At 43.9% G+C, this 27,311-nt stretch overlaps 1 protein-coding gene and 1 pseudogene across 27 annotated transcripts in view, besides 9 other annotated features; one reads left to right on the top strand and one right to left on the bottom strand.

Moving 5' to 3' along the window:
* Positions 1-27,311, bottom strand: part of TBC1D1 (TBC1 domain family member 1) — a 248,090-nt gene that overhangs the window by 135,093 nt on the left and 85,686 nt on the right. For 8 of the 27 annotated variants that reach the window (XM_047449891.1, XM_005262649.4, XM_047449892.1 and 5 more), the window contains exon 1: positions 26,552-26,789. The exons of 18 other annotated variants lie outside the window; for them this stretch is intronic. In XM_047449891.1, the coding sequence (XP_047305847.1) occupies positions 26,552-26,581 (30 nt within the window). In that variant the 5' untranslated portion in view covers positions 26,582-26,789. Of the gene's footprint in view, positions 1-17,751; positions 17,836-26,551; positions 26,790-27,311 lie in introns of those variants that run through there. One more of the 27 variants, XM_047449897.1, reaches the window with a different exon arrangement.
* Positions 340-509: an enhancer, noted in NCBI's record as "experimental_79245 CRE fragment used in MPRA reporter constructs". NCBI's record gives its function as "activates a minimal promoter by MPRAs in K562 erythroleukemia cells, with activity observed for both the introgressed and non-introgressed 4:38005278 variant alleles {active_cell/tissue: K562}" and the evidence as "EXISTENCE:reporter gene assay evidence [ECO:0000049][PMID:34662402]".
* Positions 2,862-3,040: a silencer, noted in NCBI's record as "fragment chr4:38002662-38002840 (GRCh37/hg19 assembly coordinates)". NCBI's record gives its function as "represses an EF-1alpha promoter that drives an FKBP-Casp9 reporter gene in an ReSE screen in K562 erythroleukemia cells {active_cell/tissue: K562}" and the evidence as "EXISTENCE:reporter gene assay evidence [ECO:0000049][PMID:32094911]".
* Positions 7,847-8,630, top strand: PSME2P4 (proteasome activator subunit 2 pseudogene 4; annotated as a pseudogene).
* Positions 9,477-9,616: an enhancer, noted in NCBI's record as "active region_21420". NCBI's record gives its function as "activates an Ori minimal core promoter by ATAC-STARR-seq in GM12878 lymphoblastoid cells {active_cell/tissue: GM12878}" and the evidence as "EXISTENCE:reporter gene assay evidence [ECO:0000049][PMID:35858748]".
* Positions 10,891-11,060: an enhancer, noted in NCBI's record as "experimental_79216 CRE fragment used in MPRA reporter constructs". NCBI's record gives its function as "activates a minimal promoter by MPRAs in K562 erythroleukemia cells, with activity observed for the non-introgressed 4:37994727 variant allele {active_cell/tissue: K562}" and the evidence as "EXISTENCE:reporter gene assay evidence [ECO:0000049][PMID:34662402]".
* Positions 21,800-21,899: an enhancer, noted in NCBI's record as "active region_21419". NCBI's record gives its function as "activates an Ori minimal core promoter by ATAC-STARR-seq in GM12878 lymphoblastoid cells {active_cell/tissue: GM12878}" and the evidence as "EXISTENCE:reporter gene assay evidence [ECO:0000049][PMID:35858748]".
* Positions 26,143-26,442: a silencer, noted in NCBI's record as "silent region_15357". NCBI's record gives its function as "represses an Ori minimal core promoter by ATAC-STARR-seq in GM12878 lymphoblastoid cells {active_cell/tissue: GM12878}" and the evidence as "EXISTENCE:reporter gene assay evidence [ECO:0000049][PMID:35858748]".
* Positions 26,463-26,512: a silencer, noted in NCBI's record as "silent region_15356". NCBI's record gives its function as "represses an Ori minimal core promoter by ATAC-STARR-seq in GM12878 lymphoblastoid cells {active_cell/tissue: GM12878}" and the evidence as "EXISTENCE:reporter gene assay evidence [ECO:0000049][PMID:35858748]".
* Positions 26,633-26,752: a silencer, noted in NCBI's record as "silent region_15355". NCBI's record gives its function as "represses an Ori minimal core promoter by ATAC-STARR-seq in GM12878 lymphoblastoid cells {active_cell/tissue: GM12878}" and the evidence as "EXISTENCE:reporter gene assay evidence [ECO:0000049][PMID:35858748]".
* Positions 26,823-26,892: a silencer, noted in NCBI's record as "silent region_15354". NCBI's record gives its function as "represses an Ori minimal core promoter by ATAC-STARR-seq in GM12878 lymphoblastoid cells {active_cell/tissue: GM12878}" and the evidence as "EXISTENCE:reporter gene assay evidence [ECO:0000049][PMID:35858748]".

Raw genomic sequence — 27,311 nt, 5'->3', positions numbered from 1 at the left:
TGCTTTGGGCAAGCCACCTGAGCTCTAGGAACCTCGACTCCTCTTCTACTAAAATGAGACATTACCAGCTACCTTGGAGGGTCATTTTGAGGACAAAATTAAATATGAAAGTTTAGCATAGAGCCTAGCCTATAATAGCTCCCAATAAATGCTAGCTGTTACCTTGATGTTTGTAAGGTAAGAAAAGGCCAACTCTTTTTTTTTTTTTTTTTGAGACAGGGTCTTGCTCTGTTGCCCAGGCTGGAGTATAATGGGCACAATCATAGCTCACCACAGCCTCAACCTCTCAGGCTTGAGCGATTATCCCATTTCAGCCTCCCAAGTAGCTGGAACTGCAGGTGCATGCCACCATGCCTGGCTAGCTTTTTTGTTTTTTGTAGAGATGGGTTTTCACCATATTGCCCAAGCTGGTCTTAAACACCTGGGCTCAAGGGATCTTCCCACCTCAGCCTCCCAAAGTGCTGAGATTATAGGTATGAGCCACCACATCTGACTGCCAACTTTATTAAAATATCAGTACCTAGAGGCAACAAGCTTCCATCTACCTTTCAGTACAGAACGAATAATAAATGACAAAAATAATTTCTACAATATCAGCAGGCAATAGATAATGCCAGTCATATTCAAACCTTTGACCAAATTTCCAAACACCCTGTAGGCAACAAAACTCTCCATCTCACCCCATCCTCAACTTTCCGGCAATCTCAAATATGAGTATGAATGTTCTGATTAAAATGGGGCTGAGGAAACAGAACATGTCCCCCTCCTTCCTTCTGCCAGCCCTAGACATCATAAACACCCACAGGAACAGAGTGTGAAAACCACTACCTTACAAAATACACGAGGTCTGTGAGTGGTATCAAAAGACACAATTGCAACAAATTTAGTTATAGATCTAATTGTATTTTATTCACAATTCATACATCAGGGAAGACTCCATTCTACCAAATCGAATGAAAGCTCCCACCAGGCAATGGCAGAACAGTAGGTATTGTAAGATGGAAACAAAGAAACAGAATAGAAAAACCTGACTGGTTAACATCAGGTTACTTCAGGCTACTTTTCTGTAAGGGCTAAATAAAGCAGAAGGGACTTCCTTGCTATGCTGACTCAGGTAGACTGGAATCTCCTGTTTTCAGGTCTGTTCTGGGATCCATCTGCTTTCTTAAACTGGTCTGTTCTGGGATCCATCTGCTTTCTTAACATTTCAGTTTGATTACATCACCTTTAGCATAAGTGACTCCATTTTGGTTTGGTATGTTCAGCTGGGGCCCAGTAGAGAAGCTCAATCTAAAATAATGGCCACCCATAATTTTTAAGAGCGTCAAGCAGTTTTTATGGCACGTCAAGGCAGCCCTCTAAGCCTCAGAGCACAAAACACCTAAATAAAGGTCAGCTCCCAGAGAGTAGGATTACTGTCTATTGTGCTACTTATGTAGGACAAAGTAAGTGCCTAGTACACTGTCTGGCATACTGCAAGTATTCAATAAGTCTGCTCAATGTATAAATGATTGCAATGCAAAACGATCTAATGACTTCAAAGTTTTTAAGTAATGAGAAAGACATATTTCAAATAGGTCTTAGAAGAGAAAACCACCATAAATCTGTAAATCTCCAACACAATGCCTGAGCATAGTGGGCATACAACAAATATTTGCAGAAGAAACAGATGCTGTAAAAATAATAAACCAGAAACACGGGGAGTAATTCCTTTTGTATTATAAGATTTTTCTAGACAGCTGAAGACTTTGTGTCTGGCTATTTTTATTTTAAATATTTTTGGATGGGAACTGCTTAGTATATTTTTTCAAAGCCTACAGAGAATGTAGTTTAACCCTTTCTTTTTTATGGTGGGTATATATTACAATGCCCCCAAGAGCGACTGAGGTTTTGTTAAATTGTGTGCTGCTGACTATATGGGATTAGTCTTAGGTGAGAGACAGCATCTCAATCACACACCCCACATTCCTACCAATCCTGAACGAATGCAGGAATGCTCTCTCTCAAGCACATCCCAGGGACTGAAGCAGAGATTCTTAAACTTTTCGTGCCACAGACCCCTCTCACAGCCTGGTGAAGCCTATGGACCCTGAAGAATAAAGTTCTCAAATGCATAAATTAGAACACAAGGGATGGCAAAAGATTCAATTATGCTGAAAGGGAATTATCCAAATAATTATGATATAGTACTAAGTGCTTACTGCCATATTTAACAAGATCAAGCAGCAAGTCAATAACTTACTGTAACTTAAAGCAGTGATGAGCACATACAGTATTTGAGAGATGTATAAAACTGTAAGGCATATGGAAATAACTGACATGATATCGCGATATAATAAGAACTATTTGGTCTTGACACAAGAGCATCTAAAACCCTTGGCATTTCCTGAGGGAACTGGGTAATATTAGGAATGCCTTATAATAAGGAATTAGGAATGCCTCATAATAAGCCCCTATCAACTGTACCTGAGTTTATGCTAATGAGGTGACTCTTTTTGGGTCCTAGATAGCTTTAGGATTGGCACTGGTTGCCAGAGGGACCAACTTTGTGATTAGAGGGTTGGGATTTACACCCTACTCCCCAACCTATATCTCCTGGGAGGGGAGAAAGGTGAATTAGTTACCAATGGCCAACTATTTAATCCATTATGCTCACATATTGGAACCTTCATAAAAACCCTTAAATGGTGGGATTCAGGGAGCTCCTGGGTTGATGAACTTATCGAGGTGTTGCTAGGTGGCAGGCCCAAAGAGGCATGGAAGCTCTAAACACCCCAAAACCCCTTCCATACCTTGCCTTACGTATCTCTTCCATTTGGCTCTTCTTGAGTGGTATTCTTTCTTTCTTTCTTTCTTTTTTTGAGACGGAGTCTTACTCTGTTGCTCAGGCTGGAGTCCAGTGGCGCAATCTTGGCTCACTGCAAGCTCTGACTCCCAGGTTCACGCCGTTCTCCTGCCTCAGCCTCCCGATTAGCTGGGACTACAGGTGCCCGCCACCATGCCCGGCTAACTTTTTGTATTTTTAGTAGAGACGGAGTTTCACCGTGTTACCCAGGATGGTCTCGATCTCCTGACCTGGTGATCCGCTCGCCTCAGCCTCCCAAAGTGCTGGGATTACAGGCGTGAGCCACCGCACCCGGCCTTGAGTGGTATTCTTTATAATAAACCAGTAAATGTAAGTAAAGAGTGTTCTAAGTTCTGTGGGCCATTCTAGCAAATGACTGACCCTGAGGAGGAGGTGGTGGGAACTTGATTTATAGCAGGTCAGTGGGTATCTTGGGGCAGTCTTGTGAGACTGAGCCCTTAACTTGTGGGGTCTGTGCTAACTTCAGGTTGTTAGTGTCAGAATTTAACTGATCACTGGAGACCCAGTTGGTGACCAGAGAATCAGAGAACTGGTTGCTGGTGTGGGGAAAACTCTGACACATCTGATGTCAGAAGTGTTCAGTGTAGAAACAGATCATGGTACTGTGATTTTATTGATGTTATAGTCACAGGAACTGCTACAGGCTGAGGATCCCTAGCCCAAAAATCCAAAATCTAAATGCTCCAAAATTGGAAACTTTTGAGCACCGACATGACACTCAAAGGAAATGCTCATCAGAGCATTTTGGATTTTCAGATTTGGGATGCTCAACTGGTGAGTACAATGCAAATATTCCAAAGCCCTAAATCTACAACACTTGCTGGTCCTAAGTATTTCGGATAAGGGATACTCCATCTGTAATGCTACTGGGTTTGCTGACTACATTCAAAATCAAAGAAAATATTAGATTTTCAGTTACTGGTTAGTGAAAATAAAGATGTGAACCAAAGAAGTCCAGAGGATGGGAGGTATCAGCTACATCTCAAAAATACAATCACCACCACCACGAGTCATGTCTTGGGACCATGGTGCATATGTATTGCATATATGAATAATGCAATAAAGCCAGCCCCACCATCCAATGCAAACAAATCCACTTGAAAATGAGAAAGCCTCGCCAGACGCTATAGTCATCAAAGAAATTAAAATCAACATGAAGAGCAAACTCTAATGGGGCAAAACTCAAGTGTCCATTAGTTAGAATAATGGAATTAATTTCTACACAGTATAAATTCTTCATCAATACCAGCACATTATAATCTTTTCAAATGTTACAAGTACTCAATTTTAGTCTGATGTGATTTATTGCCTAGCTAGTCCTTGGAATACAACAACTCAGTCCAATACAGAAACAGATGGAAAAGCATTTTCAACTGTCAACTTGGTATTATCACTGCCAATGGAAAAACAAGAAAAGCATACCCAATAAATACCTTTGATATCTCATTTCAATAAACTGTTAATTAGGTTGCAGCTCACATCTGACAACCACTGCAGGCAAGTGGGCAAGCCTTTCCTCTAGAATGTTCTTCCACTGACTCTCCTCCACTAGTGTCTGCAGGTTCTTCCAGATCCAACCCAAATGTCTCCTCCCCTCCCTCCCCCCACAGGCCTGCTCTCCCAGGTCCTGAGGGCACCTGGTCTTCTGCTGTAACACCTGTCATAGCCCTGAGCCCTTCCCCTACACCACGCGCTGGGGGCAGGATGCTGTTTGATTCGTTTCTGTGTACTTTGCGGGCCTACATCAGAGTATTTGCTTAACACACACACTTTAATGTGTGAGGCAGTTTCTGTTTCTCTAAAAGTGTAAAATTCATAATGTAACAGTAATTCACTTCGATTAAATATATTTACTTGAAAATACACCAAAGTGTTGTAGGTAAACTTTACCTACAACATGTAGGTTAAACATGAAAGAAACATAAAACCCTTCCACTTTCTTTTTTTCTTCTGTTTTTGTTTGTTTTGAGACGGAGTCTCACTCACCCAGGCTGGAGTGCAGTGGCTTGATCTCAGCTCACTGTAACTAACGTCTGCCTCCGGGTTCAAGCGATTCTCCTGCTTCAGCCTCCAGAGTAGCTGGGATTACAGGCGCCCACCACCACACCCGACTAATTTTTGTATTTTTAGTGGAAACAGGGGTTCACCGTGTTGGCCAGGCTGGTCTTGAACTCCTGAGTTCCCAAGTGATCCACCTGCTTTGGCTTCCCAAAGTGCTGGGATTACAGGCGAGAGCCACCGTGCCCAGTGGAAAAGCCTTCACTTTCTAACTTTACCTAATATGACGTAGGGAAAGTGTGACCAACAGTATTTTATATAATCAAATACACATGGAGGAACGTAAATTTCTGACACCTTCTCTTCAACCTGGTCATTTAAGTTAATACAATATCTCAGGCATCAATACCACTTATCAGGCCCACTGTGTGCCAGAGGCCATGCTTTCAGTGGATTACATCTCATTTAATCCTCACACCAACACTCTGAAGAAGACACCCTCATTCCCGTTTTACAGAAGGCAGACTATCAAGTCAGAAACTGTGCTGTGCGCTGGGCTGAAGAGTGGGGACAGACAGGTAACATGATTTAGAAAACAAGGCAACAGAGGCAAGGAGACTGACCACGTGCAAAGAGGGGAGGTCAGGAGGGGAGGGACAGAGAAAACCACCTAAGAGCAAGGAGGCCCGGTTGGTCAGGGGAGGCAGACGAGGAGGGAGGTGTGGAGGAGGCCCAGGACAGCCCGACCCAGCTGCCAGCAAACAGCTGAGACTGAGACAGCTGAGGACTGCGAGGTGGGGACTTGGCCAGGTTTGCATTTCCAACGGATCACCAGGGCTGCTGGGGAGAGAATGGGCTTGATGGACATAACAGCAGAGGAAGGATGACAGGCAGAAGGATGAAGTGGCAATGGCTCATTCACCTGCCTTCGTCCTCAAGAAGACAGTCGCTGGAGACAGGGGTCTTGTAACCCAGTGCCTGGCGCTGCCCCTCACACCCAGAGTGAATACATCACTGATGAAGGAAGAGACAAGCAACTGAGGAGAGAGAAGTGACGATCTCACCTAGGGCAGTGGCAATACAAATGGAGAGGAGAGGATGAAGTCAAGAACTATCTAGAAGGTAAAGCTGGCAAGAAGTGGTAACTGAACGTGACAGATGAGGGCTGAGGACGGGGAAAGGTTGGGAGGGTTCAGTGGCTAGATGGCAGAACCACTGTGACCAAAAAAAATCCAGAAATCCGAATACAGATTACAACTCAATATTTACTCACATGGGTTTTCTCTTCTCAAAGACATCTTATCCCTGAACAAAAAGTGGGAACTGTGCAGACAGTGAAACCAGGGTGTGCTGCACCTCAGAGAATAATCCCCTCGCCCATCCACCCTCAGTCTACTCTGGCATTCTGGCAAAAAATTCTCTTTTAAAAAAAAAAAAAGTAAATGTATATGAACAGCTGTTATTTCTTCTACTTATTTCCAGCAAAAGAGACAGAATTTTCAATAGTGCTTATTAATAAAACAGATCTGGAAGGGACTACGTGTGGTGGTCTCTGGGTGGTAGGAATATGTATTTGGGCTTATCAGTATGTTATTTTTCATATATATGTATTTTTGTAATCATAAAAAAGGTTATTTTTAATTTTTTTAAAAGTACATTTTTCTTAAACTTTAGTCTTTTCAAAGTTACCATCTACTGCTACTAGGTAAAAACTTCTAGGGGCAAAATCATTTGGAAAGAAGAAAAAAATCTTCATCTTAGGATAAACTCTTTTAATGTACAAGTGAAACGGCATACAGTTCTAAGTGCCCCCAAATGCTTCACGACATAACACACAAAAGCCTTTAAGTCAGGAAGCACAATACAGTACAAAAACAAACTTCCAAATAAACCCCAGAAACCAAAAACTTTAGATGGCAGTCTAAAAGCAATATTCAAAAGACTGCCCCTGCATTTGCATAGATAATTATCTAAGATGAAGATTTGTAGCTTAAATTAAAATTGTGATAATACTAAGCACTGGTCTGTCTCGTGAAGCTAATGGTTCAAGCTTGAGTTTAGATAAACCATTAGCGTGTTAACCAGATAAATACTCTTGTTCCTTCTCAGGAATTGCAGTAAAATAAATGTGATTCAAATTATTACATATGTGGACACAGTACGGAATCACCTTGACAGCACCAAAATTAATTTTTTAAAAACAAAATATTTCATAGTATAGGCTATGCCTCAAATATACAGTGCCTTTGTCCAAATCTTAAAAAGCCAAACCCCTGTTCTCCCCCTCACAGACAAAAACCCATGGGTGGCAGACTTTGGTAAGCCAAGTGTGGGTTGGATCTCAGTCCTTGCTTGTGCCACTGGCTGGGTGCCTTTGTGCAGCCCGCAACTTGCACAAATGTACAGTGTGGCCCAGCCACAGCCCTGTCACCATCTTTGAGGTCCATGGTCATTTCCAAATGAATAGAAATTTACACATTTCCAAATGAACAGAAAAATTACACTAATTCATGAGTGCCAGGCTCAATCACAGGAAAGGGCTCTGAGCATGTGTTATAACTATCAATTATTTACAATTTTAAAATATGCCAGACTAGCTTTACAGCACTAACTGCATTCTTGAGTAAAACTTATCACATGTGTTCAAGAACCCAGATCTTCATTCTGATCAGCGGTAGAAACAGGTTTTCCTCTCATACCATTTCAGTTCTTGAAATCAACTACACTCACCAAGTAACCACTCCCTTTCTTTAACTTTGATCAACAGGCAAATCAGAACTTTTGCCAATAAAGGATGTTAGTTAAAAGCAGTTTAATCCATTTTCCACTTTATATATTTTAGACTGCACACAATACCAAGGGTAACAATAACAATACTATTCATTGCTCCTTGGCATTCTCGGAGTTATAAATGTTAGATAACTTCAATATATATTTATAACAGTCAGGCTGTGAATGCGAAAGCCCGGGCGACTGGCCAGAAGACCAGAGATCCAGCAACTGAAGCTGCACGGCCAAGCCTTGTGGTGGGTGCCTGAGCAGGGAGGCCCACACCCAGGTACATGTCTTCAGGCAAGAGCTTTTCCAAGAAGCCAAGGAATTCCTCTACAGATTCTTGCCACAGAAAATCATATACCCACATAGGCCTTGCAAAAGGATTCCCTCATTGTAGCTGCCTGACCTCCCTCCGGGCCCCACTGGACATCCCCATCCCAGAACCCCCACCCAAGGATGAGGTAGAAACAGAGAGGCAAGAGAAGAAAGAAGTCCTTGAGTGTGGATTTCTCCCTGGGAATGAGAAGGTCCTGTCGCTGCTTGCCATGGTTAAGCCAGAAGTCTGGATTCTCAAAGAGAAATGCATTCTGGTGATCACATGGATCCAGCACCTGATCCCCAAGACTGAGGATGCAAATGATTTGGGGTAGCAATCCAGGAGAAGGTGCTGGAGAGGGTGAATGCAGTTAAGACCAAAGTGCAAGCCGTCCAGACAACCATTTCCAAATACTTCTCAGAACACGGGGATGCTGTGGCCAAGGCCTCCAAGGAGACCCATGTAATGGATTACCAGGCGTTGGTGCAAAAGTGAGATAAGACAGCCTATGGGGAGGTCAAGGCCAGGGTACTGGACCTGAAGGCCTTCTGTGCTGAGCTTTATCATATCATCAGCACCAACCTGGAGAAAACCGCAACCCAAAAGGTGAAGAGAAACCATCTGTGTACTGAGCCCAGGGCTGGAAGGAAAACAAATGATCTATACTTTGTGAGGGGGCGGGGAAAGAAACCTCAGGTTGTATCCTAGCATTTGATACCTAAAAAACAGAACTGAGTGGCAAATATTTTCTTCCTGCTTTTACAGATGAAGGAAATCAAAGAAATACTATACAGGACAAGAATGAAACAGTATGAAGTTGCACAGACAACGAAGTTTCCAAGTCTGAATTCGTAGCCAGTGCCTAACCCTCTGCTAACATTTTTGTTTACACCTTTATCTGTCCAGGCTCCTAGCATATGAGGAAGAAAATCTCATCTCCTTTTAGCACCCATCGCTCCAGGTCAGTTTCCCGAGGGCTGTTGTGTCAGTATCGAAGGAAACAAACTGCAGTACTCTTAAAATCACTTCTAGTTCCAAATTCTACTATTCTACAAAAATAAATTGGCTAATAGGATGAAAATACAAAAATAAAAAAATACCCACAAAACAAAACCAAAAAAATGCCAACATCAAGAACATGGTGATACAGGTTAAGTACGTAAGTTGCAAAAAAAACAAAAAAGAAGCCCTCAGCTCTAATCACCCATGGAGTTAGTCCCAGCTTGCCAAAAGTTCATGTGAAAAAGATTTAAGGATTGTAATTGACTGTAAGCCCAAAATAAGCCAGCAGAATGGCCTGGAGAACAAAAGAATGAAAAGGAACAAAAAGCCTAGGGCATTAGGAGAAATGTCATCCTCACACTAAGAGAGGGGTCACAGCCTCACCCTCCTTCTTGCTGATCAGGTCACACGGCAAGTTTCATTTTTGGTTTTAGGACACTTTAAAAGCAGCAGCAACAAGGGTCATAAAATGCATGAACAGAGGCTGGGGGAAGAAGACAAAAATGCCTTTGGCTTGGGTAGAAATCTGTCGCAGGAAAGAGGCATTAGCTCCACTCTTCTCAAAAATGGGAAAGAAAGAGGCTGGGCATGGTGGTTCACGTCTGTAGTCTCAGCACTTTGGGAGGACAAGGTAGGTGGGTGCTTGAATCCAGGAGTTCAAGACCAGCCTGGGCAACACAGTGGTGCACACCTATAGTCTCAGCTATTTAGGAGGCTGAGGCAGGGGAATCACTTGAGCCTGGGAGTTTAAGGCTGCAGTGAGCCAAGACTGTGCCACTGCACTTCATCCAGGTGACAGAGCAAGACCTCGTCTCAAAAAACAAACAAAAAAACAAAGTAAGAAAGATTTCCACTTTGAATATATTATAAAAACCTTTCTTTCAACTAGAGCTCATTCAAATGGTACAGACTTCTTGAGGAGTCAGGCATCCCTTAAAAAGTTTCGAGCACCACAGTCTAGGGCTTTAGGGCTTTATTTAATAAAGACAGGCGATGAGAGCCTGCCTCCACCTTCCAGGACCTCCTGAGCAGGTTCCCTCCAGGCAGGATTTGAAATCGGTTTTTACTCCCCCTTCAGGCCTCTCAACTTCTGGGAAGTGCTGACTTCATTTTCACGAGATCAGATATTTTACAATCAGGGAATTTCTGGAGAACCAACACCAAAACCAAGGCTGACAGGAGATAAAGACTGGCTTCGCCAGCCAAGAGCTGATGCTGGGAATGTGCTCAAAGCTTTGTTGTGGCCGGGCGCGGTGGCTCACGCCCTTAATGCCAGCACTTTGGGAGGTCAAGGTGGGTGGATCACTTGAGGTCCGGAGTTCGAGACCAGCCTGGCCAACATGGTGAAACCCCGTCTCTACTAAAAATACAAAAATTAGCTGGGTACGGTGGCGGGCGCCTGTAATCCCAGCTACTTGGGAGGCTGAGGCAGGAGAATTGCTTGAACCCGGGAGGCGGAGGTTGCAGTGAGTTGAGATTGCGCCACTGCATTCCAGCCTGGGCAACAGAGCGAGACTGCATCTCAAAAATAAATAAATAAATAAAGCTTTGTTGTTTGCCCCATGCCAAGGGAGTGCTACTGTATGTTGAGGGGCTTCAGTGACTTGCTGGAACTGAACTTTGATCCACTCACCACAATGCAGGAACAAGAACTCCATCTACCAAGTGGGAATTGTAGTCTCTGAATCCTAATGACATTTTCAAAAGCAAGGCTTCATCTTGATTTAGTTACAAGAGGAAAAAAATAAAGATCAGCCTTAAGGGGAGGCGCAGGGTAATGAAATCTTACTAATGTAATTCTCTCCTTTAGAATGTATTTAGTAAAATCTTTCATTTCACAGACATCTTAAAAAAGATTCTTCATAGTGTTCTGATTCTCTCTCTCTGTCTCTCCCTCTCTCTCAGGATGGCATCTACTCCCCAAAAACTAAGAAAGATGGTTTCTTTCTCTACATTTCCAGCTCTGAATTCTTTCCTAAACTTCGCTAACATTTCCAATCACCTATTTAAAGAATCACCAGGCCGGGCGCGGTGGCTCACGCCTGTAATCCCAACATTTTGGGAGGCTGAGGCAGGCGGATCACCTGAGGTCAGGAGTTCGAGACCGTCCTGGCTAACATGGTGAAACCCCATCTCTACTAAAAATACAAAATTAGCTGGGCATGATGACACACGCCTGTAATCCTGGCTACTCGGGAGGCCAAGGCAGGAGAATCACTTGAACCCAGGAGGCGGAGGTTGCAGTGAGCTGAGATCGCGCCACTGCACTCCAGCCTAGGGGACAGAGTGAGACTCTGTCTCCAAAAAAAGAAAAAAAAAAAAAAAAGAATCGGCCAGGCATGGTGGCTCACACCTGTAATCCCAGCACTTTGGGAGGCCGAGGCGGGCAGATCACGAGGTCAGGAGATCAAGACCATCTGGCTAACACGGTGAAACCCCATCTCTACTAAAAATACAAAAAACTAGCCGGGCGTGGTGACAGGCACCTGTAGTCCCAGCTACTCGGGAGGCTGAGGCAGGAGAATGGCGTGAACCCGGGAGGCGGAGCTTGCAGTGAGCCAAGATCGCGCCACTGCACTCCAGCCTGGGTGATAGAGCGAGACTCCGTCTCAAAAAAAAAAAAAAAAAAACACCAGACTTCTAGTCCTTGACCTTAAAATATCCACATCAAGCTCATTCTCTTTTCCTTAAAATAGGCCTTTCTTCCTACTTCCTTGTTTCCCAAATGCCTTCTAGGTAACTGGGCTCAAAACCTGGTAAGTGGCTTCTGCTCTTCTTTCTCCTTACTCCTTCTTTCCCTCAGCTCTTTGGGTGTATATTCTCTCACCACGAGCCCAAAACCTCAAGCGCTGGTCCGGGCCTACACTTGCTTCAGCCAGACCCCAGCAAGACCTCTCCTCTGCCGCCTCTGGCATCTCCCTACATCCATCCTGCTATCCAGCACAGCCTGATCTTCTGGAAACACAGGTCTGATGGGGTCAGCCTCCTGCTCACAAACCTTCTAGGGCTCCTCTGCAATCCCTACCAGAACAAACACAGTCCTGCTAACCCTCAGGGTCTCCCACCAATGGGGCTCCACTCAACTCTTCCTGCCTTATTTCACCTGGCTTCTTTCTCTGTAAGTTCCGTTTGTACCAAACATGTTTCGAACACACCTCCTAAGCCTCTGTTCATTTGGGTTTCCACCTCCATACCTTTGCTCATGCAGTTTCTTCCACCTGGAATATTCTTTGTCACCCCCTGGATGGGACCTTTGAATCACTCACTCACCTTATTCACTTTCGGGATGAAATGCAGCCACAGGAGGCTGGAATGGCTGGCATCTGGTCACAGAGCCAGGCTAGACACAACTAGACCTCCCCAGTAAGGACTGGTTTTTTAGGCAACACTGGGTCCCTATGATTTGCTTTTATTTGGGATAAAATCGTCCAGTGTAAAATTTCCTTATTAGGCTAAAACCTCTAAGCCCACTAAATTTAAAAAAAAAAAAGAGAGAGAAGAGCTGCCAGTGCCCACATTTCCAGGGACTTGCAGGAATTCTCTGAAACTCACAAGCCTTACCAGGTCTGCATGCTCGTGTTCAGCAGCAGGTGCTAAGTGACTGTAAAGGGCTGTGGTGCCCACCCTGGGGTCTTCATGCAGGGCTTGAGGGTAGAGTCACCCTCTGCCCCATAGTGACAGGCCAGCTGGGCTCCACTGCCTCCATCTACTCAGTCAGGATTAGCACAAAAACTTGTTAGAGAGGTTTAAAGAGCCCCCAGATCAGCGGAGAGGTACTCCAGGACACTGTGGACTGTTCTTAACACCCACACCCAAGCCAAATCTCTGGCACCCAGAATAAAAATGATGTTTTTGAGAAGGACAATATCTAAGTTAACAGTGTATAGTCAGTTCTACTTATCCCTGATCAAAATTAACCGTGAGGTTGTAAAGTGGGATTTACTACATTTGGGAAATTATTACCTCTGTATACCAAGGGGCTACTCAGAGGTTTACAGTTCCCCACCTGCTTTCTGGCAGGCTGACTCTGTGACTGCCTTCACCACCTTCCCCCCACCCACCCCCGCCCCAGGTCAGCAGCTGGGTCTCTCTCATCTTGGCAGTTGTGTCTCAAGTGCCTGCCACAGAGTAGAGGCAAAAGAAATAGATTGTGATCAACACTGAGCTTGAAGCGGCCAGATTTCTTGACCAAGAACGTCTGGAAACACCACACTACTCCCCCAAATAGTGTAGTTATTGCAAAACAAATACAGAGTTGTGTGGTCTGGTGGTCTAGTACATCCAGCTCTTTCCTTGGGGAAAAATATCCAGAGACCACATTCTCAGCTGATTAACACACTAGAGAATTGACAAAAATCAAACTTTGGTACGATGTTCTTTCAGTTACACCAAAACTGGATGGCACAGACTTGAAGGGCTGCTTTTACTGAAACACTAGTGTGATAAAAATCCCTATGTATTATATTCACATATTTCTGGAAATGGAAGGAGAATCCCTTCCCTTCACCTGGAAATTCAGGAATACAGCTTTTTCTGGAACCGTAAGAAGGCTTTGGCCTTAGATGTACTAGCAATATTTCATGCTTATTATACAATTAATTGATTAATAATCAGTACACAAGGGGCCACAAACTCCTTACTCATAAGCGGGCTTTTGGTTGTGTTTCTGAAGTCAAATTTTACAAGTTCTAATACAGGGGTATCCAATCTTTTGGCTTCCCTGGGCCACACTGGAAGAATTGTCTTGGCCCACACATAAAATACATTAACACTAATGATAGTTGATTAGCTTAAAAAAAAAAAACTCAATGTTTTAAGAAAGTTGATGAATCTTTTTTGGGCCACATTCAAAACCATCCTGGCCTGTATGTAGCCCACAGGCCGTGGACTGGACACTTGCTCTAACATTTTAAACTTGGAAACTTACATATTTCTTTTAAAAGCCTAACACAATAGAGACTGTCACAATAGACCAGTGTAAATGTCCCTAAGCAAATAACGTCTCAAAAATCTGACAGTTTATTTCCACCTAATGACTGGTTTCCTTTGGGCCCACCCTTTAAAAAGAACTTCCGCAAAATACCACTTGGCTAATTCTCTGCCTTGGGCAGTCCTACAATTATAAATTCTGCTAAACAAATAAACTTCCTTCCTATTTTTAAAGTATTCCAAAATTGGAAACTCTGTGTCTTTGGTTGGCAAACTATTTTCTGGAGTCTAACAGCCTTAGCCATGAAGAAATTCTTCATTGCACTCTGAGAGACGAAAAAAACCAGAAACTGTCAAGGAGTCCCTCCCTACACCTATTTCAGGGAAGGGGAACTAACCCCACAGAGTTGTGACCTTGGGCAAGGTCACACAGGCTGCTGGTGGCAGAAGCCAATGTCCTCCTCTCTCCCCCATTTTCCCCTTAACTGATCTAAGTTACTTGTGGCCTAAAGAAAGCAGTTTGCTCTTGTTCTGTACTAGGGAACAGGGTTTATGTTTAATTCATGCAGAATGTGCTAGAACAACAGAAAGAATCTAAATATTAGTGTCAGCAAAAAGAATCAATCTCCGTAAAACATTTAAAGAGATTTATTCTGAGCCAGATGTGAGGACCACGACCCATGACACAACCCCAGGAGGTCCTGAGAACACGTGCTCAAGGTGGTCGGGGCTATAGCTTGCTTTATACATTTTAGGGAGACATAAGACATCAATCAATATATGTAAGGTGTACATTGGTTTGGTCTGGAAAGGTGGGACAACTTGAAGGTGGAGGGGAGGTTGCAAGTCATAGGTGGATTCAAATATTTTCTGAGTGGCAATTAGTTGAAAGCGTTATTATCTAAAGATCTGGAATCAATAGAAATAAGTGTGTAGGTTAAGACAAGGTCATAACCTGGGTGAAGACCAAGGTTTTTATCATGCAGATGAGGCCTCCAGGTAGCAGGCTTCAGAGATCTTATCAGACCTAACAAAAAATGTGCCAGACTCTTAGTTAATTCTCTCCTGGTTCAAGGAAAAGATCTGGAAAGTGAAGAGGATTCTTTAGAGAAAGTAGATTTTCCCCATAAGAGACAGCTTTCCAGGGCCATTTCAAAATATGCCAAAGAAATATATTTTGTGGTAAAATACTTCAATTTCTTTCAGGGCCTGCTATGTCAAGTGATGTCAGACTGCAGTTAGGCTGGAATTTGAGATCTGTTTTGGCAGTCTTAAGATCTCTGTTTTAATGTTTACGCTGGTCAGTTGTGCCTGAATTCCAGAGAGAGGAAGGTGTAATGAAGCATGTCCCCTTTCCCATCACGACCTGAACGAGTTTTTCAGGTTTCTCTGGAATGCCCTTGACTGAGGAGGGGGCGGTCCATCGGTCAGTTGGGGTGCTTCAAATTTTGTTTTTGGTTTCCATTTGAATGAGTGCCAGGTGATGCAAAGAGCTCTGTTTGGATCTTAGCTGTGGCTTTGGGAAAGACATCTCACCTATAGTGGGCTTCATGTTTCTTCATCCTTAAAAAGAGGGAATGCAGCTAAGCAACTACAAAAGTCTTCCTCCACCCCTAAATTCAATGATGATGATGGTTCACGAGTACTAAGTGCTTAATCTAGGTACTAAGTGTGTTATGTGGATAAATCGTCAACCGCTTAGAGGATAGCTGTTTATCATCCCCCCTTTAATGGATGAACACATTAATGTCTAGAGAAAAAAATAACTTACTTAAGGTCATCCCTCCACTGGTAACTGGTGGAGAGATCTGACCTAGACCAATGATTTCAGGGGCCCTTTCCTCCTTATCAAAGGTAGACAATCTAAGATAGTTGGCTTGACTTGCACTCACAGGGACACAGATTCTGAATTGAATACAACTGTAGCAATCATTTAACACAATGTTCTCATTTTATAGATCAAGGACTGAGGCCCAGGCAAGTGTAACTTGCCCTAGGTCAAAAAATGTATTGGAAACACGTGCTACACCCTGCTGTTCCTAGACAAGTTCATCCAAAAGAGTGCTTGACGGTTTACATGCACTTACATCAGCTCACGTGATGCCAAACAAGGCTACCTGATGGGCACCTGGCATTGATCATCTTTCCCACTGTCGCCTAGCCAAGGCTAAACAGCAAACACAGAGCACACTGGGACCTGCACCCCACGCCTGCTACTGCCTGCCTAGTGTGCTATCTATAGGCCGATAAAACATCCACAGTATGATGCTCTGGAGAGTCTATGCAGAATCGACTCCTAAAGAGAACTTTCCAGGTAAGCTGAATAACTATGAAACATGGTTCTGTGGTACTTTGAAAAGAATATCAGAGAATAAGTGAAAACACTCTAAAATCCACAACTCAAGTCAACGAGAAAATGCAATCTCATGTGGTCACTCAAAACTGACCTCTTTCGGTCTATCATTGAATTGTCTTAACCTCCTCCCAATCTTCACCTTCAATCTTCTATGTGATTTTTCTCTTATTTCCTGTTTCCTTCTCTCCCTAACTGAGAACATCACAAAATTCAGGGATTTAAAAAAATGTTACACTTCTTATATAGTTTCCATATGGTATATCTATTTTTAAAAGCAGATTAGTTGAATGTTTTATGTCTCTCACCTAAGAAAGGGGAAAAAAGTTCAGTTTCTCAGTGGAACAAGATATTTTTCTAAGCTCTGCTGCCCTTGTTTCACATATTGAACATGCGTTGTAATCCCCGTTACAGAGACAATGCAGGTACAACAGATAAAATATGAATTTAGAGCCAAACAAGTCAAGCTTTAATCTTATTAGCTAGGACACGGTACCTAGCCTTTCTGAATTTCAGTTTCTTCATATTTCTTTCCTGAAAAAAAAAAAAGTGGAAGGAGGAAATAATACCACTACTGCCACAATTATTTTGAGAATTAAATTAATTATGAGACTTCTAACACAATGGCTGGCACATATAAAGTTCTGAAAAATATAATCATCTCTTCCCTTGTTATTCATGCTAAAATAATTGTCCCTTCTATTAAATGCCATTTGCAGTCGATGTTTTTCTGAGCAAAGTCAATCTCTCATATTAGAGGGAAGAGATCCATTACACACACCTACCCCATCTCCCAGAGGATGCCTTCCGGGAAACAGGAGCACTCAGTGAATGGGTGGGTCACTGCAGCCCAGTGCTAGGGAGCTAAACAGCCACATTAGACATTGGCAACTTGCACTCTCTTCAAATACTCAGGCTGTGCTTCTTCTTGCACAGTTAACACAACTGGTTGGTCCTACCAGGCTGCAGAGACACCCTTCACATATCAAAGGATCCCCACCCACCCCAACCCGACTACTCAGGCTTCCTCTCCTTGCTCATTTCCCTGCAGGCATCTTGACCTGAAATTTGCAAGAATACACTCATCAAGGGGTTAAATAAAGTATCCTGGGTCAGGCACAGTGGCTCGCACCTGTAATCACTTGAGGCAGGCAGATCACTTGAGGTCAGGAGTTCAAGACCAACCTGGCCAACATGGCGAAACCCCATCTCTAGTAAAAATACAAAAATTAGCCAGGCACGGTGGCGGGCACCTGTAGTCCCAGCTACTCTGGAGGCTGAGGCAGGAGAATCACTTGACCCCGGAAGGCAGAGGTTGCAGTGAGCCGAGATCGCGCCACTGCAATCCAGCCTGGGCAACAGAGCAAGACTCCGTCTCAAAAACATAAATAAATAAATAAAGTATTCTGAAATACAATATATTGTTTGATAGATGTGCATAGTTTTGATTTTAGTAAAACAGTTTGAAGATGAAAGTGCAAACAAATCAGCAGAGCAATATTAACAATGTACCTCAAAAACAGGTGTCCAAGAACTTTTTAAGTTCTGCCATAAACTAGCTGTGTGATCTTGTTCAAATCAAGTTACTTCATCGCTCTGGGTGTCAGTTCCCCATGTAGAAAAGAACAAATGGAATTACATTCAAGATGACATTCTGGTTACACCGTAATTACATTACTAAATCCTACTAGAATGACCACCACCCTAAGCCACAATTACTGATAGGTATTTGAGGGCCATAGGCAGTGCTGGTATGAAAGAAAAGGTCTGAGTAATTTATTTATACTGATGTGCCTTCCCCAAGGTTAAAAATCAGTGGTCTCAAAAACAAGGCAAACAGTTGGAAAGCAACCTTGAATCATTCTGAAACATGCTAGAAAACTACCAGTAGTATTTCCTCACTATTCCTTTTCATAATCCACCACATCAATGACCTACAATTACCCTTGACTTCACTCAGACCTCATCTTCTAGTCTCCTCCAAAATCCCAGCTGAGTGATTCTTCGTGCATATATCACATTAAAATTAAATTATCTCCACAGGTCTCCCTCTCCCCATTAGACTGCAAGCTATTCAAGGGCTGGGCCCATGTCCTACTCATCTCAGTATCTACCCTGCCTAATACCACACATGCCATTAACTTAAACTGCCCATTCGACCATGTTTTAAATGGTTTACATCTGAAGATAGTCTTCACAATTTCCTAAGCAGATTTTGACATTAATGGATTTTAAAATAGGAACTATTTTTAAAAAGATAAATACAAAACAAGTATATATTAAGTTCATTTCAGACACAAGAAAACAGGCTCAGCAAAGTTAACTTAGCCAAGTTCAACCAATGTAAAAGAACAGAGCCTGTGAGTCTAATCCCATTATAACATGACAGATATAAAAATGATTTACAGGAAAATAACCAAAGTGCATGAAAATTAAGGTAATTTTTCTGTCAGCTTTTTCATATAAATTTAACAAAAGAGCACAGAGTACTTGTTCACCACTCTTCCAACAACAAAATCAGAAATCATAGAAATTTTAAAATGGAAAAACCAGATACTTAAGATTAGATTCATAAATATCATAAATATAGGCTGGGCGCGGTGGCTCACGCCTGTAATCCCAGCACTTTGGGAGGCTGAGGCAGGCGGATCACAAGGATAGGAGCTTAAGACCATCCTGGCCAGCATGGTGAAACCCCGTCTCTACTAAAAATACAAAAAAATTAGCCAGGCATGGTGGCGCGTGCCTGTAGTCTCAACTACTCGGGAGGCTGAGGCAAGAGAATTGCTTGAACCCGGCAGGCAGAGGTTGCAGTGAGCCGAGATCACGCCACTGCACTCCAGCCTGGGTGACAGAGCAAGACTCCATCTCAAGAAAATATATATATCATAAATATAACCAAATAAAGGTCTTCCTATAGGTTGTACAGATGTTCGTGAATATTACTGTGCATTCTAAAATAAAATTCAAAAGCACTAACATTTTCTTTTTTTTTTTTTTGAGACAGGGTCTCACTCTGTCACCCAGGCTAAGTGCAGTGGCACAATCTTGGCTCACTACAACCTCTGCCTCCCAGGCTCAAGGAATTCTCGTGCCTCAGCCTCCCAAGTAGCTGGGATTACAGGTACACGCCACCACACCCAGCTAATTTTTGTATTTTTCTAGAGATAGGGTTTTGCCATGTTGGCCAGGCTGGTCTCAAACTCCTGGCCTCAAGTGATCCACCCACCTCAGCCTCCCAAAGTGCTGGGATCACAGGTGTGAGCTAACACTCCTGGCCTAACATTATTTCTATTCCTTAAAAGTCAATCAAAAGAAAGGGAGTAGGACTACATCAGCTGTCATTAAAGAAACATAAATTAAAACATCTATGAGGTACCACTACACACCTATTAGAATAATCAAATTCCAGAATACAACATCAAATGCCTGTGAGGAGCAAAAGAAATTCTCATTCATTGTTGATGGCAATACAAAATGGTATAGGCACTTTGAAAAGCAGTTGAGTGCTTCTCACAAAAACAAACATAATCTTACATTACAATCTATCAATCATACTTCTTGATATCTACTCAAAGGAGCTGAAAACTCATATCCACACAAAAACCTACACAGAGATGTTTATAGTAGCTTTACTCATAATTGCTAAAACTTGGAAGCAACCAAGATGTCCTTCTGTGGGTGAATGGATAAACTGTGGTACATCCAGGCAATTAATATGATTCAGCACAAAAAAATGATCAAGCCATTTTAAAAAAAAAAGCACACAGGAAACTTAAATGCATATACTTAGTGAAAGAAGCCAATCCGAAAAGGCTACATATATACTGTATGATTCCAACTACATGACATTCTCTATAGGCAGAACTATATATACATGCTCTATAAATAGTATGAAGATTAGTGGGTTGCCAAAGGCTTATAGGAAGGGAGGGATGAATCGATCACAGAGGACTGGTAGGGCAATGAAACTACTCTGTATGATATTATAATGCTGGATATACGTCATTATACATTTGTCCAAACCTGTAGAATGTATATCACCAACAGTGAACCCTAATGTAAACGATGGACTTTGTGTGATAATCATATGTCAATATAGATTCATCAGTTGTAACAAATGCACCATTCTGGTGAGGAATATTAATAACAGGGGATGCTGTGCATGTGTCCCCTGTTCTTCTGTTTCTATCAAAACATCTGTGAGTTTACTATGAAAATCACAAAGCTTGAGAAGTTCAGTGGGGACAGGGGCTATATGGGAAATCTCTGTAACTTCCACTCAATTTTGCTGTAAACCTACAACTGCTCTAAAAAATAAAGTATATTTAAAGAAAAAAGGGAAGAAGAAAAAGCTGGGCACAGTGTGGTGACCGTACAAAGCATCATACAGAATGAAATACACAGCTATAAGAGTTTGGGGGAGGGATGGCGGACACAGTGGCTCACGCCTATAATCCCAGCACTTTGGGAGGCCGAGGCAGGTAGATCACGAGGTCAGGAGATCGAGACCATCCTGGCCAACATGGTGAAACCCCGTCTCTACTAAAAATACAAAAATTAGCTGGGTGTGGTGGCACCTGCCTGTAATCCCAGCTACTCGGGAGCTGAGGCAGGAGAATCACTTGAACCTGGGAGGTGGAGGGAGCCGAGATCGCACCACTGCACTCCAGCCTGGTGACAGAGCGAGACTCCGTCTGAAAAAAAAAAAAAAAAAAAAGAGTTTGGGGAAAGATCATCTTTGGCCCCTAATGGGTCTTCACTGCTCCAGAATAAAATACCAAAGGGGTCTGTATGCCATGCTCATCCTGGTCCTCATTCGCCTCTGCTACTCCCCCCAGCAGTCTCGCTCCAGGCCCACCAACCTCCTGTGAGTGCAGCTCCACCAAGGGGCCTCCAGGCCTTAGCATACGCTACTCTAACTGCCTGGCACAACCTGCCCTTCCCGTTATTCTCTGCCCTGCTTAGTACATTCGTCAATGAATGAATGATTAATCAGAGGTGCTTCAGGAAAGGAATGAAGGATGAGGAGAGTTTTGATAGAAACAGAAGAACAGGGGACACACATACAGGTTAAAATCAGATTAAAGAATTTGTCTAAGGAAACAAATTATACTTTATCTTTTTTTCTCATCAGGCATTGCTCTGGGCTGTGTTCTATTTGTGGATTAGGTGGGATTTCTATCTCTGCTCTCCTCCATTCTCTTTCAGTAAAACCAACCTACGCCCAAGTTCCTGGCACACTCTAAGCAACTAGAGTTCCCAAAGCCCAAAACACAGCTGCCACCACTACCAGATAAAAAGTGCTCCACAGGAACTCTGCTGAAATCCTGGTCAGGGTTATACCAGCTTTGCTTAGCCGAGGCAGCACATTTTTCAAATTCAAGGAATGGTTTGACTATGACAAGGAGTTCTCCCCTCCTTATTAAACTCAAGCATCCACTAATAAAATGTAGTATGAGTCTACAGAAGAAAAAAAAATTTTAAAACAATACATCACATTAACCTAGGACACACATCAAGGACAAACCAACACTGGACTGACTTCAAGCAACACAAGAAAATTGTTGCCTAAATATTTGCTATAGTCAGATTCACACCTTACATAGGAAGGCTGCTGTGCTGTGTGCTGGTAAACAGAAGGGCAACTCCTACCGCCTACCGGCACCCAAGGTGGGCTGGTCTAGTCTGCAGGAAACCTCAAAGGTAAATAAATAAGCCCAGAGTCAGGACAGAACTTTGCATGGAAGCTGTGCTTAGAAGAAAGAGATGATGGAAGGGCAAGTTGTACTCGTACTCAACATATAAATAGCAATTAGTTACTCGGTTATTTGCACCAAACACAGACAAACAAGATAGCAAAGCCACTGGGTCACATCATTTCAAAATACAGACAATGACTATCCACTGGTATTCCTTTCTTATTACTGAGGTCCAAGCTACCACTATCACCTCCTATCCGAACCAAAACCACCTCCTAAGTGGTCCCTCTGCTTCCATCCGAAATATACATCAGCTGACATCACTCCTCTTTTCCACATCTTTAACGGCTTCTGACTACACTTAAAAGCAAATCCAAACCCCATTCTAAGCCTATGGAGCCATAAACAGCCTGGCCCACCTTACCCCTCCCCACTCAAAGCTCAGTGCTGTGCACCCAGCTGGATATATTCCAGCCATACCTCCCTTCTCCCTGAGGCCTGCCTGGAGCATGTTTCCTGCCCTCTCACCAGTCAGATGGAATGCCACCCCTGCACCACCCCAGCCCGGAGCCACTTACTTCTCTTCCTCGCACTGATCACCATCTGAAATAATCTTGTTCACCTATTTGCTTGCTGCTTTGCTATCTCTCCCATCTAGAATTCCATGAAAACAGGGGTCTGCTTGTCGGTTGCTAAATCCCCAGCTCCTCAAATAGTACCTATTATAGGTAGGTTATCCATAAATATCTGCACTGAACACATTTGTTAAATGACCTGTTGAATGAATGGTGGCTAGATAAACCAATGTTTTAAAAGTAATGCCCAAATACGGAAAACCTGGTTTTACATAAAATATTAATTAGCAATCAGTTACTTGCTTTACAAAAGGATTCTGTGGGCTGGATGCAATGGCTCACACCTGTAATCCCAACACTTTGGGAGGCGGAGGTGGGCAGATCACTTGAGGTCAGGAGTTCAAGACCGGCCTGGCCAACCTGGTGAAACCCTGTCTCTACTAAAAATACAAAAATTAGCTGGGCATGGTGGTGTATGCCTGTAGTCCCAGCTACTAGGGAGGCTGAGGTGGGAGGAGCACTTGAACCCAGGAGGCAGAGGTTGCAGTGAGCCGAGATCGTGCCACTGCACACCAGCCTGGGCGACAGAGTGAGACTCAGGGTCAAAAAAAAAAAAGATTCCTTTTTTAATGCATCTTTAAATATTTAATTTACAAATCTCCAGGGTGCACACTTTTTAAAGGATAATCTATTGTGCAGAGTGAATTAACTCCTCCAGGACATAAACACTGCTTATATACAAAAAGTACCTAATAAAACACTTGTTGAATGAGCACTGGAAAATACACAGTTAAATGCCTTAATTAATACATTAAATACACAGTTAAGTACTTTATTCATAAGGTAAATACTTAATACACACCATAAACTATATGAAACTATACTTGGATTTGAAACACAGCAAACTTGGCTATATTTAGTTCTCATTTTCCATTTTTTCTCATAAACTGACATATGTATATTTAAAATCTACCAACTTGAGATACCAGCAATAATCTTAGCTACAAACTTTATAAGCAGGTGCAAATCCAAATAAATTCTGGAAGTTACTTGGCAGTTCTGCTGCAGTCAGTTTTGACTAACAGATACATGGAGGCATAGAAACAGTAGATATACTCAAAACTGACAGGTTGTTGGGGACATCTGTGAGTTTACTATGAAAATCACAAAGCTTGAGAAGTTCAGTTTTATTTATAAACTGCGTAAAAAGTCAAGTGTCCCCACTGAAAGACTAATCAAGAAATCACACTGCTATAAAGCCCAGCCACATTCTTGATGCAATGTACACCTGCCCTAATGTTCCAGATCATGTCCAATTTTTTTTAAAAGTACATCTTATGTTTTTCTTTCTTCTTTAAACAGATAATCTCTTTAAAACAAAACTCTCCCGTTTTGGCTTTATTCCTACATCATGAAATTGCCCACTCTACACATTCAATATTCACACAATACTAATGCATCGTGCAAGAAAAACACATTCATGCTTGGCCGGGGGCGGTGGCTCACACCTGTAATCCCAGCACTTTGGGAGGCCGAGGCAGGTGGATCACCTGAGGTCGGGACTTCAAGACCAGCCTGACCAACATGGAGAAACCCTGTCTCTATTTAAAAATACAAAATTAGCGGGGGTGGTGGCGCAAGCCTGTAATCCCAGCTACTCGGGAGGCTGAGGCAGGAGAATCACTTGAACCCAGGAGCCAGAGGTTGCAGTGAGCCAAGATTGTGCCATTGCACTCCAGCCTGGACAACAAGAGCGAAGCTCTGTCTCAAAACAAAAAAAAAGAAAAACACATTCGTGCTCAGGTATCCATGTGAATCAACCGACACCCACCCCTTCTCCTTCCCCACCAGGTGTTCAGCTGCAGTTGCAAAGGTCAAAATGAAAAAGGAAAAGGAAAGTCAGCTGCGTAACTGGATGTGCAGGTGTTTGTGTGAGGCCTGTGCTCATGTGCAGCTGTGTGTTTCTGAAGGGGCATTCTGAAGTCAAATATAACAACTTCAAGATTATTCACATTGTGTACATTATCTATGCCTTTTGTCTTTGTCTTTAGGATATTACCTAGTTTGTAATGTAAAGTGTGTTAATGACTTGCCTCTTCACCGTAAACCACATCAGTTCCATAGAACATCATTCTTACAATCTATAACTCCAAGAAATAAACTTCCAAAGACTAATTTCGTATTCTAAAATCTTTCACAGGATAACACGTTATCTATAAAAATCATTCAATTTCGGGATATAATTTGTAATGCATGCACCACCTACAGGAAATGAAATATAAAATAACCACATTTTAAAAATGTATGCTAAGAGGTATACATGAATTTGCTCCAAAAACATTTAATAGTTTTTCCGCTGTTGTCCTGTAATCGAAATAATAATTTTGAGGGCGGGTGTGGTGGCTCACATCTGTAACCCCAGCACTTTGGGAGGCCAAGGTGGGGGCATTACTTCAGCCCAGGAGTTCGAGACCTGCCGGGCCAATATGACAAAACCCCATCTCTACTGAAAATACAAAAATTAGCTGGGAGTGGTGGCGCACAGCTGTAATCCCAGCTACTGGGGAGGCTGAGACACAAGAATCGCTTGAACCTGGTAGGTGGGGGTTGCAGTGAACTGAGATCGCACCACTGCACTCCAGCCTAGGTGACAAGAGTAAGACTCTGTCTCAAAAATAATAATTTTGAAATAACAAGATTCAGAATCCAAATTAAGCTACCAGCCTACATTTCCTCTATATAAACTTTTCCAACGTACTGACACTCGGAGAAGGCTAACAATCGTCCTAAAAGTCTGTGATGGTTTTTGAAATGACTTTTTAATGACTCAAAACGTTTTTGAAAGTCATCTCATTTTACCACCAGCTATGTTTCAGGAAGTGATTCTAATGGAATGTTATTTACCTAGTAAGAAAATCTACCTAAAAACTTTTGCCCATCTAAAAACTAGTGTTATCTAGTTTCTGTGTCTCCAATTTTGTATCACTTAAATCACAGGCAAAGCCATACCTGCTCACAAACAGGTATTCATAAAAATGTAATTAAATAAGACTATAAAAGCATTGCATGATAACTCAAGACATAACCACCACCTAATTAAATTATTAATTGGTAAAGCCTCACAGTATGGCTAACGAGTTGTGAGCTTATTACTCAACCAGCCATACACAGGAAACAAGCCCTGGGAAGGCGCCGGCCAAGGGACTGAGTGCATGGGGTGACAGCAAGATGCCCTAACGACCAGCGAGCCTTTCAAGGTGGCGAGGGTCGCATCCTTTAAAACACATTCAGACACCTGGCACTGCAGGAGTGGATAAAAAGAATGCTATTGATGCTATTACTGTGTTCTCGAACTGGTGGGAACTCGGGAAATCTACACTTATGCCTTCCTGTTAGCAACAGTGCAACTGGCCTGGATTTGCACCACCCAGTTATCTCGAAGGCGCTGATGTTCTGAAAATAAAACTTTGTGGGAATGGAAAGTTAAAAACTTCTATTTAAAACTCAGACCTCAGAACATGCCCTTTGAAACCAGAGGGTTAAAAACGAAAGACAGACGCCCCTTGTGGGCACCAGCCTCTGGGCATCCTCGGCGCCCTGTCCAGGCGGCCCAGCGCAAGCCGACTTCTGCGAGGGAGACACACGAGGGCGACACCCGCGAGGGAGACACGCGGGGTCGACTTCCGCGAGGTCCCGCGCCGGGGAGGCACCGAGCGGCAGCTCCGCGGCGCGGGGAGCGACAGGGGCCGGAGGAGCCGCCTGCTGGGTTCGGGCTCCCGCAGGGGTCCCCGAGTACAGCCTCAGTCTCCCCAACTGTGAAATGGGCGCCGCTACCTCGCCCGTCCTCCCCACAGGGATCTGGGAGACTAATGAATGAGAAACGCGCGGCTAACGACCTGGTCGCGCCCGCCGCTCGCCCCCCGCCGCGCCTGGCCTCCAGCGGCCCGGCCCAGCCCCGGCCCGAAGGTTACAAATGTTCCAGCCCCGCGCCTGCCGCTCCGCTCCGGTAACGGGCGCCCGCCCGACGCCGCCTACCTTGGCCACCCAGCTGAACAATGGTGACATCGCGGGCCGGGCGGCGGCTCTTCGCCCGCCGGCTCCCGCTCACTCCCGCCGCCGGCCCGTGGGCCCGCGGGCGGCCGGGGGCGGGCTTGGGGAGCGGCGGGGCCGGGGCATCGCTCTCCCCGGCGGCGGCGGCGGCGGCGGCGGGCTCCACCCAGTTCGTCACTGCCCCGAGAGGTCGCGCCCGCGGGGCGGCCAGGCAGAGAAAGGGAAGTGGGAGGGGAGAGCGCGGGGAGGGGGTGGGCGGGGGGAGGAGGGGAGAGGAGGGGAGGGCGCGCAGCCGACCCCGCCCACCCCCGCGCTCCGCTGCTGGCGGGAAGTTGGGACATGCTGGGGTCGCCCCCTTCCGAGATGCCCAGGGCTGCGCAGGAAACCCTGGAGGCTGGGGACGCGCCTTTCCAGGCCTCTGGGGTCCGTTTCGCACAACTTTCAGAAATCTAAGAATTCCTCCCTCTCCGAGGTTCCACAAAAGCCCCAGAGTTGGAGCTAACACAAAGCCCGCCCAACTTTCCAGGGGTGACCCCCACCCCCAGGGCTTTTCTTCCTAAGCGCTTTAGATTGCTAGTAACAAAAGACCAGTGTTCCCCAGCCCCTAATACCTTTATATAATCAAAGGTGGTTTTCTTGGAGTCAGGAAACTCGGCCATTGAGACCAAAAGTGGGGCAGAGGAAAAAGAACCATTTAGCTCCTGCCTGCCAGGAGGCTTTAGCAACTTGAGAAATGTTGATTTCA

The sequence above is a fragment of the Homo sapiens genome, chromosome 4 (assembly GCF_000001405.40).
Source record: "Homo sapiens chromosome 4, GRCh38.p14 Primary Assembly".
Lineage (NCBI taxonomy): Eukaryota > Metazoa > Chordata > Mammalia > Primates > Hominidae > Homo > Homo sapiens.
Note: the sequence above shows the minus strand (reverse complement) of the source record. Positions and strands in the feature narration are given on the sequence as shown.